This window comes from Homo sapiens, chromosome 11 (genome assembly GCF_000001405.40).
Source record: "Homo sapiens chromosome 11, GRCh38.p14 Primary Assembly".
Classification (NCBI taxonomy): Eukaryota; Metazoa; Chordata; class Mammalia; order Primates; family Hominidae; genus Homo; species Homo sapiens.
The window spans coordinates 22,817,012-22,829,975 of record NC_000011.10 but is presented as its reverse complement, the minus strand read 5'-3'; the positions used below and the strand labels follow the sequence as shown (position 1 = coordinate 22,829,975).

The following is a 12,964-nucleotide window of genomic DNA, read 5'->3' as shown; positions in this document are numbered from 1 at the left end:
TGTGGGACTGGTTGGTGTCGCGAGAAGAGGGGGGCGTTGCCGCAGAGAGGCGAGGCGGGGCAGAGCTGCGGGGTGGGGGCGGGGCGTTGCCGCTGGGGCGGAGCCGAGCCAGTGGAGGGCGGTGGGGGCGGGGCAAGCGCGGAGGACCAGGGACCGGCTCCGGACCGCGCAGTTAGCGCCGCCTGGCCTGGGCCGGACCCGGTCAGGGTTCTCAAGCTGTCGTCCCTATGGGGCTGTGTTTTCCTTGTCCCGGGGAGTCCGCGCCTCCCACGCCGGACCTGGTGAGTAGAGCAGGTCCCTGCGTCCGCCGGGCCGCGCCTTGAGCACCTGTCCTCGGGTTGCGGGGCGGGCCGAGCCATTGTACCTGGTGGCGCAGGTCGAGAGCCCGCTGGGGGACCCTGCTAGCGAGGACGGGTGGACGCGTCAGGAGGGTCGTTGGGTCCTGTCAGAGCGACCTAGGCCGTCGCCTCCGTGTAGATCTCCACTTTTGTAACAAAAAGTTGTCGAAAGGCGGCTGTGGCGTCTTTCTACCTTCCACTGACTTTAGCTGCGCCGGATCTTCATAGGGCGCCGGCGCACGCAGAGGGCGTTACGCGTGGGACATTCCGGGGGATGTGGTAGATGGAATTCGGCGCGAAAAGACATTGCTTTCTCCGGGAGCTCTTTAGTCGTCTAGGAGATGTGCGTTTTCAACTGTGTCTACCATCTTTTAAAAGAAGGTGCTCGGAAAGTCGCTTATACGCCTGAGCTTTATCGGATATGTTTTTTTAATGATTTCTTTTTAGTATTTATCTCATTCTTTTACGTTCTCCCTTTAAAAGAATATGTAGTACAGAGTGTCCAATTTATAATGTCGTATTTAATAAAAATACTGGACACCCAGTTACATTCGAATTTCAGATATACAAGGAATACGTTTATAATATCGTTTTGTGCCATGCAATATTAGGGATCTAGTTCTACAAAAACATTACTCATTGCTTATCTGAAATTCAAATGTAGCTAGTGGGTGTGTGGTACAATACATGTACACTTTTTGTAGCTTTCTGTTAACAGTATCTTTACATTAGTACTCCTTACAGGGAGTTAACATAAACCTGTTTCTCTTCTCTAGCTAAAAATTAGTTGAAGAAAATGAAGTATTTTTGGGAAGTACATTAACTCTTCAGCTACTATAGATACTAAAAATTTAGTACTTATAAATTTGATGTGGGAAAGTTCAGCTTCTCTTTGTTGCTGCTGTTGTTTTAAATTAAGTTGATTTTGTTGTTCTGGCTGTCGATAAAATATAACATGTCAGATTTGTTAAGCCCTCCCCCCCATCCTCATACTATACCCTCTTCCCTTGATAACCACACGGCTCACTGCTTGGATGTCACTTTACCAGTGAAGCTTTTGCTGACCACGTTAAACAAAATATATTCCCCACAATACCACCCACCCATTCTCCCATTACTTATCTGCCATGCCATCTGACAGACGTTTACTTACTTCATTATATTTGTCTGTGCGCCCGCAATTGGAATTTGTTTCATTTGGGAGGAGACATTTATCTATGTTTTTACACTGTTGTATCCCAGCACCTAGAAAAAGGGCTTTATAATAAGTAGTACATGGTCTAGAAAAATAGCATTCACTGTTTTCTGATATGGAACAATACCTCTCATGAAATTACTCCAGTCCTTCCCTCCTACACACTGAGATTAGCCCACTTCATTTATTAACCTTTCCTAAAAACACCAGGTTACTTCAGACTCCATTTTAACCGGCAGTAACAAACCATGTATTTTCCTTTTTGTATTTGTAAACATTATTTGTTTTGTTATTGCCCTGACTAGCTTGTAGGCCTTTTTATTAAAAAAGAGAGTAAATAAATGATTATATAGGTAAACCTTGTATCTGTTTTAGCATGTGCTGATTTGAAGGCATATTGATTAGGAGAATGAAATTCAAAAAGTTGAGTAGTGGCATTCTTTGTGGGACATTTAGGGCCAGTACCGAATATTTTTGTAAATTGTTATAGTGCCTATGAAATAAATGTGAATAATTTATTAATAATAATGTTTGTTATTTTAATACATATTTTTACACATTTATTTAGGAAGAGAAAAGAGCAAAGCTTGCAGAGGCTGCAGAGAGAAGACAAAAAGAGGTAAGATTAAAGATCAAGTTTTGCCTACTTAGATAATTGAGTTTGGACTTTATTCTTCATAGATGTCCATAGCTAGATTTTCTAACGCAAATGGCCTTTGATATCCCAAAAATTTACATTTAAATGTAATTATTTTCAAAATGATTTCCTTATTTATATGAATTGCATTAATATATTTATATTAATATATGAAAACTATCATATCTTCTCTAAATTCAGATACTCTTTTAGTAACATCCTTCCTTTTAAAATGGCTGTGCATTGTAAAATACTTACAGATGTGAAGCAAGTTTAGGGGAAAATTTGTATAGTTACAAAATACCCAGTGAAGAAATGATGTTTTATGTAAGGCTGTTGTAGAAACACTCCTTCTATGTTACCAAAAATAAACCAACTCCCTACCCCCAAAGAAAAACCTAGAAAGCAAAGATAGACAAAAAAATGTTTTGCACACTGGACAGATTTTTGTTGTCTTTCTGTTTTTCTTATCAAATTTCTTCAAGGCTGCATCTCGGGGAATTTTAGATGTTCAATCTGTGCAAGAAAAGAGAAAGAAAAAGGAAAAAATAGAAAAACAAATTGCTACATCCGGGCCCCCACCAGAAGGTGGACTTAGGGTAAGTATTAAAATTTTCTTAGTGATTAACTTAACTGGCATTTTAAAAAAACTTAAGTAGCAATCCATTCATAATTTTCTCCTGAAATGTATTATCAGAAAATTTTGAAATAGTTTAAAAGCATGAGTAGTAAATATTGGAAGTAATACCAATTTATTTTAACATTTATTGGAATCAATTAGCTTTTTTCCCCAAAATGAAATAATAGATTTATTATTTTAACACTATATATATTTTAATACTCTTATGCTTACTACTAATCTTAAATAATTCAAAAATTCAAGCAATATGGAGAAGTATAAAGAAGTGTAAAAGTCATCCAAACTAAGTACCATTTTGACAGACATAATTTCTAACCTTCATTTATATATCTTATTAAATTGGATTACGCTATAAGTTCTGTTTTATGGCCTGAGCTCTTTTACGCATTGATTTGGAATCTTTGATCTTTCCATTGCCCCTGTTTATTATAGTTATGTAAATGTTAATTTGGATTACAGAATGTATACAGGTGTGGGTATCATACACATACCTCCCTAGATATGGATCCCAGAGCTAGACACTGGGAATATAATGGTGGACAAGTTAAGCAGAGTCTCTGAATGCTGGAGTCTTTACACTCTAGCAGGACTTTAAAGGATTTATTTTTAAAATCCCTTAAAGCTCAGGAAAATAATGGCTCAGATATTAAGAATTTATTCTTGGTCCATTTTTAAAGTAAATAGTAGTATATTTGTGAAAAGGACAATGTCTTTAATTTCAGTCATTTATATTTAACTTGTCAATGATTTATGAGTACCTTTCAACAGATTTATTGGTTTTTTTTCTCTCAAAACTACACACACACACACATGCACATACATATACATGGACATATACACATACACTTGCCTACATGTAGATACTCTCGTAACTTGTGGGGCAGGCAGTTTATGAACACCCTGAGCAGTTGATTCTGGCTCAAGAATATCACAGAAATAAGAATGTGTGTCTGTGTATTTTACTATTGTACGTTACTTCATCTTATATCATTTAACGAATGAAAATTTATGAAGTTTTTTTATGGTGAACTTTTAGCAATATATAATTAGTTTCAATATAAGGTAAATAAGTCTGACCATTTTGCTTATGTTTTTTATAATTCCATAATAGAACAGAATAGGTCTAGTGTAAAGTAAAACAGTTGGGTGATAACGAGGTCAATTCTTTATCATATCTCAATATTCTGTTGAGATAAAGTGCTGTTTCACTAGGTTTACTTCATATAGGGTTGTCAAAAACAAACACAAAATTACAAAAGTTAAATTGTAGGACTGGAAATAATGAGATCCACTATTTCACAGTAGAAGTGGTGAAGGTATTAAGTTAAAGTCATACGTAATGTTATAGGAAAAGGATAATTTAATCAACACTTAATCATAATTAAGAAGACACTTCACAAGTTCTAACCTAATGAAATTAACATCAGCTTTTAAAGTATAATAAAGAAAGAGGCTTTCTTAAACTTGAAGCTTCCACACTCTGAAGTCTATAGATTAAAAAAAAAATTTAGGCCTTATATTACTTACAATCCATTCAAAAGTGCTCAAAATGTAAAACATACCCAAAGTTAAATTTAGTTTCTGTTTTTCTTTGTGTACTGTTCTTGTAAGAAATCTCTCAAACTCACTTAGTAAAAATGACCTTCAGGACCTTGAAACTATATAGTGGCAGGAGGATTTTCTCCAGTGGCTCACTGTCATTAGCCACTGCTGTTGTCCACTGTGAGTAATTTTTCCTTGGAATATTCCTCATCACCTACCACTACCACACTAGCTTCAAGTGGCATGCTCCATTCTGCTTGACACATGCACAACATGTCAAGAGCATGAAGTGAAAAAATTCTGGAAGGCTCAGGGATAACAGAAGGGAAAAATACAAGGCAGAAGTACTTAACCCTCAAAACGCTTGGCCTATGGTCCTTTAATGGCTGCTGTCTGGCTTGTTTCATGGGCTGGCCTGAAGTATTGGTAGAGTCTTCCTAAGGTAGGAAGGTTAGGAAGACTCTTCCCTAGGTAGAGTCTTTCTGACCTGACTCTACCTAGAGTATGAGTCTAGTTTGCATTCCCTGTCTTCATGCCTTTCACCTATTCATCTCCTGACCAGTGCTGCATCTTTCCAGGGTAATTAGCATGGGTAATGCTGTCTTCTGACTTCTTACCTGAAGAAGTCAATGTGATGATGGCATCAGGATGCAAAGTACTATCAGTACAGGATATAGCAGCACGGGAGTAAGGGTAGACCTCTAGTACAATGGCTTTCCACCTTAGCTGCATGTTGGAGTTTCATAGGCAGCTTTCAAAAAGGATTGTTCATTGGGCTCCACCTCACACCAGTCAGTCTCTGAGAGTAGGGTTTAGCCATCAGGACTGTTTTAAGCTTCCCAAGGTAATCTAATGTGAACCCAGATTGAGAATCACTATCCTAGCGTTTATAACACTTGTCCTAAGAGAGATGTTTTGGAAGATAGAGTCCCATGGGAATAAATGTTTAAAAATGCTAAATTGTATATTGTAGACTATATCCCCTTCTTAGAGACTAAAAAAGGCACAGAATTATGGCCTCTAAGAAATTGTACAATGAAGAAAAGCAAGTTTACTTGGATTAATCTTTAATGTTGAAAATTTATTTAAACATAGATTTTATATATATATGTGTGTATATATATACGTATATATATACATATATATATACGTATATATATGTGTATATATATATATATGTGTGTGTGTATATATATATATAAAACACCCAATAATATTCCTTGGATGTACTTGGAAAACACTATCAAGAGATTGCCAAATATCTCTGGTTCTATCCTAATGGCTCTTCAGGACCTATCACAGATTTAATAGACTTCATTAAACAAAGGGGCAAATGGAATATTTTCTTAACTCAAGAAGGAAAAGACCTTGCCAAACCATTTTTTAATGGTTTCTGCCATTTCTTGACTCCCTGGCTCAAACAAGAATTTTTAAATTTTTGTTTTGTTGTGTTTTATTTTGTGTTCCTTTACTGATTATTGGATATTTAGGCTCTTGCTACTGAATAGCAGGTTCACTGTGCAGTGGTTACCAACTTCAGAGTCCAGTGGACAGAATACTCATGCATGTAACATTTGCATGAAGAGGCTGAGCACAGTCACTCACACGTGTAATCTCAGCTGTGAGAGGAAGGCTTTGGGAGGCTGAGAAGATGGGATGATCACTTGAGGTCAGGAGTTAAGAGACCAGCCTGGGCAACATAGCGAGACCCTGTCTCTACAAAAATAAAAAATAAATTAGGTGTGGTGGCATGTGCCTGTGGTCCTAGCTTTTCGGGAGGCTGAGGTGGGAGAATGACTTGAGCCTGCGAGGTTAAGGCTGCAGTGAGCCATTCCCACCTCACCCCAGCCTGGGCGATAGAGTGAGACCCTGTCTCAAGAAAATCCCAAAACAAAACCAAAAACATTTAACGTGGAGTGAGTTTATTACTTACAGATTGGCAACAAGGGACAACAGAAGCCTAGGATTCATTATAAGCTTGTCTCCCAAGGAAAACTGCCTGGGGTTGATGACATCTGTGTGTGCCCCACTTGAACCTCAGATGAGTGCCCTGGGTTTTATGACCTGGGGGTTAGAAGGGGAGGTACTACATGACTCCTTGGGCTAAAGCATTGAAGGACGTCCTGTCTTTAGGGAGGGACTGGAACAGAACTTGAGCTGTCCTTGGCCATTCATTTGCTATCCCAGGATGTTACATTCCCAGCACATTCTACAGTTACTCTTGAAAACTACAGGCAAGACAGTGAGACAGAGCTATCCTGCAACTACCCACCAATCTGACCAGATATTTTGTCTTCTTTATGCTTTTAAACTATCATCTTATTTCAGGCTTTGGACTATAATGTAAAATTTTATGAATAGCTGCTATTCAGAAAAATCATTTTGTATTTCTATGTCCCATATTCCTCTTTTTACCTGTTTGTTCACTGAAGTACTGTTATATAACTTCAAGTAAAATTTACTTTTCTGTCTCTTTTTTATCTTTTCTAGTGGACAGTTTCATAAAGCATAACATGAGTAGAAGAATCTACTGCCAATAACTGTTTATTATCTGCAATCAAGTGGGCTTCATCAATTTAATTTCTTCTCTTTGAGTAAATGAAGATTCAGACTTTGTAATATTATTGCCCTTAAGTGCAATGCTAAAAAAACGTTGATTTTCAAGCTTAGAGAATGGCTAGACTTTTCATTAAATACTGATTTTCCTACATTTGCTCTTCTGCAGTTAGTGGGTGATTTGCTATTTTTCTTAGTAGTTAAAAAATGGAACTAAATAGTGAATATACATACACTGCATGTAAACATTCTGCATATACCTCTAAGATTAAAATTCGCAGTTGTCTTTTCATCCTTTATAAAATGATCTAACTACTTATATTTGTGCTGCATCGCGTTACATCTGTTTTTATTTCACTATGAAGATGTTTGATTAAACTTATGGACTTAGTGCCTTTAAACTGATCATCAGGGAGAATCTTGAAAAAATCATTTGAAGGGCTGATGTGAAGGAGCACTGTAAATTTTTATAACTTAGTAATGAGTATTCTTAGGCAGATGTAAAATTTTTTCCAATTTATTTTTATTTATGTAGCTTATAAAATTAACATACCCTGTTTTACTTTATGATAAAGGATTTTTTGTTTGCTGAATTTAAAATTATATATTAGTGATACCATCAGAGGGCAGTGATGTTCTATTGTATATTAAATTCAGCTCTGTAAGGATCTTTGTAGTAATTGAATGAGTTAAACTAATAATCTGGATGGGTTATAATGAGTAGTAATATATTTGTCCATATTTCATAAGTAGTGTTAATCTTGTGTACTTATTAGAGAACGATCATAAGATTTATACAGATGTGAAACTGCGAAGGCAAGTATGAATGTATGAAAAAAACATGTAGGTACTGTACTTACAAAAGGTCTACTTCAGATATAAAAATATTAGGTAATTCTATACAATGCATAGTCATAAACCTTAACATTTTTGTTCATTAGAAACATGAATTTTATAGCATTTTTTGTTTCTCCTATATAATACACTGAAATAAAAGAATTTGTGTTAGCTATTAAGGCTGATAGCTCTTTTAAATGGCAAGGCCACATGTTGAGCCCTAAATTAAAATTTGCAGATATTAAGTGCTAATAGAAATTTTAAGTTAAATCGACCAAGTTCACTTGCTTTACACAAAGGAAACTGAGCCACTATCTTCATCTACCCCTCCAACAAAAATTATGTTATACTGCAGTGTATTGTACATGTTAATTTTTAAAAGTTTGAACTATTATATAATACAGGTCTCTTGACTTCTCATGGAAAAATTATTTTTTCTATTATGGTGTGAAATATTGTGTGAATATCTAGGCAAAACATAACAATTTGGCTCAATTTTCTTCTTTAGAGGATTCGTGCTGTTTTTGTTCATAAAGGGTAGTGAAATCATTGAACTATATTTTAGAATGAAAATTTTTGATTTTATTAAAATGATTTTTTCAAGGCAGAAAGTAAAAGGAATGATTGATAGCGGAGTGCATATAGAGCTAGAGCATATCATCCTTGAACTCTGCAAATCCTTTCTTCCATTTTAATATAGCAAGAACAATTTTGTCTTTACTACATCTTAAAGAATTAGAACTTGGGTTGGTGTAAGTGACTTACTTCCAGGGAATCATGCCCTATTTCTACCAGCAGGTCATACCCAAATGTCACACTATCTATTGTTAACCATGAATGATATTCAGATCTATTACTTTTCGTGAAAAGTGGAACATGTTACTTCCAACCATGGCCTGTCACCGTGAGTGTGATCAGCTTTCTCCAAAACCACATGGGTCGCAGGAGCTAAGGGGTGGTACCCAAATGTTAGGAACAGTGTTAGGAAAGGGCAAGGGAAAAGAAGTGACTGGATGTCTTATGAGAAACCGGTAAATGACTAAAAAAAAAAGCAAATGACTAAAAACATGACTAAAAAATTATATATATATATAATATATATATTATATATGTGTGTATATATATACACATAATATCTGCAAATTCTAATTTATATATGTGTGTGTATATACACACACACACATGCACATACACACATACGTCCAGACATCTCCCTCATAAAATAACCATCAGTTTCTATGAAAACCTTAAGTGGAAGCCAATTTCCCATAGTAAATAATTTAGGAGAAAATTATAATGCTTAAAATGTTGCTCAAACCCCTGACCTATTACTAAACTATAATTGGAACAGTAAAATGCATATATGTAACTATCATATCATGATTTAAAATTGCTTAAACCATTGCTGCTTAATACTAATCAAACTTAACGGCTGCTAACAAAAGTTGTGAATTATTACACGGCCTCTTTGTAACGTGCTGCATGTTTTTTAAAACATCTCTGTGTTTCTGTTTGTTCCACTGCTGGTATTTGGAATGTAATTTAACAGTTCTCACACATGGTTTGGTTATAAATTCTGTATTGCCTTTTAGGGATATAAATATACATTTTTTTCTATGTAAAAATTAGCTTTAGCTGTCTCTTTAACAAAATTTTATCTTTACTACATCCTAAATACTTAGAACCTGAGTTGGTGGTTAGGGAAACCTCAGGAACATTTTAATCACATTGGGATTCAGAAGAGCAACAGAACCAAAGGTTGTTTGGTGTGTTCATACAATCCCTGGATTTATAGGTGGATTTTCTATAAAGGAAAAATGATGTAATTAGTATCCTGTTTTTTCCTAAAGAAATAATACTATCATAAAAATTCTGTCTATCCTTTGTACCCCAGGAAAATGGACATGAACTTTGAATTTTCCCTTTCTCCAAATGTTTGACTTTTTATTTTCACTGATAAGCATTATGCTATGTTCTTAGAAGACAAAAGCAGCTCTTGCCAGTTTTGAATAATTTCTGCATGAATAGACCAGTAAGAGGTAAGTAGCCATGACTGCCTATATGTGTTGAGACATAAGGTATATTTCTTTAACATCTCCAAGCAAGCATTTCAAATTCTCTTAACTACTAAACATGCTCTAAGCTAATTCAAATATAGTATTGTGGCTTTTTTCTTCAATTTTCTCAAAAGCTACAGACACAAGGCATTTGTATGTATAACAGACTTTGATGAAGTTTTGGTTCCAGTAACTCAAAACACTAAGTTTCCCATTTGATATGGCTTTTTATTGTTCTAGTCTCCCTCTTCTAGTTATGCTTCATCTTGCAAATATTGACTTTGAATGTGATAACTATTGCCTACAAATTAAGTATTCATACATTACTCCTGTGGATATCATACTTTTTTGTTATTATATCCTGAATTGCATTGGCTTTTTTTGGTTTTGTTTTGTTTTTTGAGATGGAGTTTCACTCTTGTTGCCCAGGTTGGAGTGCAATGGCACAATCTCAGCTCACCGCAACCTCTGCCTCCCAGGTTCAAGTGATTCTCCTGCCTCAGCCTCCCTAGTAGCTGGGATTGCAGGCATGTGCCACCACGCCTGACTAATTTTGTGTTTTTAGTAGAGACAGGGTTTCTCCACGTTGGTCAGGCTGGTCTCGAACTCCTGACCTCAGGTGATCCCTGCCGCCTTGGCCTCCCAAAGTGCTGGGATTACAGGCATGAGCCACCGCGCCCGGCCTGCATTGGCTATATTTATAATACCAAATTTGTGTTGAGTTTTGAGTTAATGTCTTCTAGTTATCAAAACAGGTTTGATCCATTCTTTGCAAGTACCTCTAACTTATCTCAAGTGGAACTAATTAGTTTTGCACACAGATTGGTGCTCTCTAGGCTATTTCCCTGAAATTTATCTTGTTACATAAGTCAGATATCAAGGAGTTATGCTAAACTCCTTTTCCTATCAAACTCCTAAAATGCCCTTTTCTCTGTCTATATTTCTTAGACATAGTTACATTATAAATGTAACAGATATATTTAAAGTAGGTTAATACCAAGTGTCTCAGGTAGAAAATTCTCAGAGGTTCCACAAAAACTTCTGGAACTAATAAATGACTTTAGTAATCTTGCAGAATGAAAAGTATATGAAAGTCAATTCTATGTTTATATGCAAGCAATGAAAAATCTGTAATTGAAAGTGGGAAAATTTAAATTACAATATCAACAAATAAAATATTTAGGAAAAATAAAACTGTAGACATTAAAAATGACAAAACATTGCCAATAAATTAAGATCTAAATGAAGAAACATTGTATGTTTTTGGATTGGAAGATGGTAATTCTCAAATGGGCCAGTAAATTCAGTGCAAAATCCCAGCAAACTTTTCTAGAGAACTTAATAAGATGATCCTTGAATTTATATGGAAATGCAAGACTTAGAAAAGCCAAAACAGTTTTGAAAAAACAAAGTAGGGAAGTACTAGCCAGAGCAGTCAGGCAAGAGAAAAAAAATACAAAGCATCCATATAGAAAAAAGTTGTCAAACTCTCTCTCTTCGCTGACAACATGATACTATACCTAGACAACCCTAATGACTCTGCCAAAAGGCTTTAAAATGGATAAACAACTTCAGTAAAGTTTCAGGATACAAAGTAAATGTGCAAAAATCAGTAGCGTTTCTATACATCAATAATATTCAAGTTGAGAGCCAAATCAAGAATGCAATCCAATTTACAATAGCCACACACACAGTAACTACCTAGGAATGCATGTAACCAAAGAGGTGAAATATCTCTAAACGGTGAATTACAATACACACTGAAAGAAACCAATGGAAAAATGTTCCATGCTTATGGATTGGAAGAATCAATATCATTAAAATGGACATACTGCCCAAAGCAATCTATAAATTCACTGCTGTTCCTATCAAGCTACCAATGTCATTTTTTCACAGAATGGAACAGAATAGAGAATTCAGAAATAAAGCTGCACAACTAGAGCCATCTGGTCTTTGACAAAGTTGATGAAAATTGCAATGGAGAAAACACTCACTAGTCAATAAGTGGTACTGGAATAACTGGCTAGCTGTAAGCAGAAGAATGAAACTCAAGATGGATTAAAGAAAGATTTAATTGTAAGATCTCAGATTATAAGGATCCTAGAAGAAAACCTAGAATACACTATTCTGGATATCAGCCTTGGGAAAACATTTATGCCTAAGTCCTCAAAAGCAATTGCAACAAAAATAAAAATTGACAAGTGAGACAAACAGTTTCTGCAAGCAAAACTATCAACAGAGTAAACAGACAATCCACAGAATGGGAGAAAATAATCACAAACTATGCACCTGACAAAGGTCTAATATGCAGAATCTATAAGGAACTTAGTTCAACAAGTCAAAAATAACCCCATTGAAAAATGGGTAAAATACATGAACAGACGTCTCAAAAGAAGACATACAAGTGGCCAAGAAATGTGAAAACATGCTCATCATCACTAATCAGATAACCAAATCAAAACCACAGTCAGATATATTTCACGCCAGTCAGAATGGCTAGTATTAAAAACTTAAGAAAACAACAGATGCTGCTGAGGCTGTGGTGAAAAGGGAATGCTAATACACTATTGGTGGGAATGTAAGTCATTCAGTTCAGCCACTGTGGAAAGCAGTTTGGAGACTTCTCAAAGAACTTAGAACTGGTATTGGACCTGGCAATCCCATTACAGGGTATATATCCAAAAGAAAATGAATCATTCTACCAAAAAAGCCATGCATTCATGTATGTTCATTGCAGCACTATTCACAATAGCAAAGACATGGAATCAACCTAGGTGTCCATCAATGGTAAACTAGATAAAGAAAATATGATACATATATGCCATGGAATATTACACACAGCCATAACAACAACATAATTATGTCCTTTGCAGCAATATGGATGCAGCTGAAGGCCATTATTCTAAATGAATTTATGCAGAAACCAAACCAAATACCACATGTTCTCACTTATAAGTGAGAAGTAAGCATTAGATGCTCATGGATGTAAAGATGGCAACAATAGATACTGGGCACTACTCTAGAGTGGGGAGAGAGGGAGGAGGGCAATGTTTGAAAAACTGACTATTGGATACTATAGTCACCTGGGTGATGAGATCAATTTCACCCCAAAGCTCAGCATTATGCAATGTATCCATGTAACCTTCATGCGTACCCACTGAA

The 12,964-nt window shown here is 36.0% G+C and overlaps 1 protein-coding gene and 1 long non-coding RNA gene across 11 annotated transcripts in view, besides 2 other annotated features; one reads left to right on the top strand and one right to left on the bottom strand.

Annotated features, from left to right (window-relative positions):
* LINC02718 (long intergenic non-protein coding RNA 2718) overlaps positions 1–562 on the bottom strand; it is a 376,384-nt gene extending 375,822 nt beyond the window's left edge. For all 6 annotated transcript variants that reach the window (NR_187208.1, NR_187205.1, NR_187209.1 and 3 more), the window contains exon 1: positions 365–562. This is a non-coding gene — a long non-coding RNA (long intergenic non-protein coding RNA 2718). The remainder of the gene's footprint in view (positions 1–364) is intronic.
* Positions 51–120: a silencer, noted in NCBI's record as "silent region_3207". NCBI's record gives its function as "represses an Ori minimal core promoter by ATAC-STARR-seq in GM12878 lymphoblastoid cells {active_cell/tissue: GM12878}" and the evidence as "EXISTENCE:reporter gene assay evidence [ECO:0000049][PMID:35858748]".
* Positions 175–11,049, top strand: SVIP (small VCP interacting protein). 5 transcript variants are annotated; one of them, NM_148893.3, is made up of 4 exons: positions 175–281; positions 2,102–2,152; positions 2,656–2,769; positions 6,843–11,049. In NM_148893.3, exons 1-4 carry the CDS (start codon positions 228–230, stop codon positions 6,855–6,857), a joined length of 234 nt encoding a protein of 77 aa, NP_683691.1. In that variant the 5' UTR covers positions 175–227; the 3' UTR covers positions 6,858–11,049. The 5 variants fall into 5 exon arrangements, 4 of the variants coding, with proteins under 4 accessions (NP_683691.1, NP_001307270.1, NP_001307271.1 ...); NM_001320341.3 differs by having other exon boundaries at positions 9,640–9,678; NM_001320342.3 differs by having other exon boundaries at positions 6,850–9,678.
* Positions 271–580: an enhancer, noted in NCBI's record as "active region_4539". NCBI's record gives its function as "activates an Ori minimal core promoter by ATAC-STARR-seq in GM12878 lymphoblastoid cells {active_cell/tissue: GM12878}" and the evidence as "EXISTENCE:reporter gene assay evidence [ECO:0000049][PMID:35858748]".
* Positions 11,050–12,964: the final 1,915 nt, after the last annotated feature.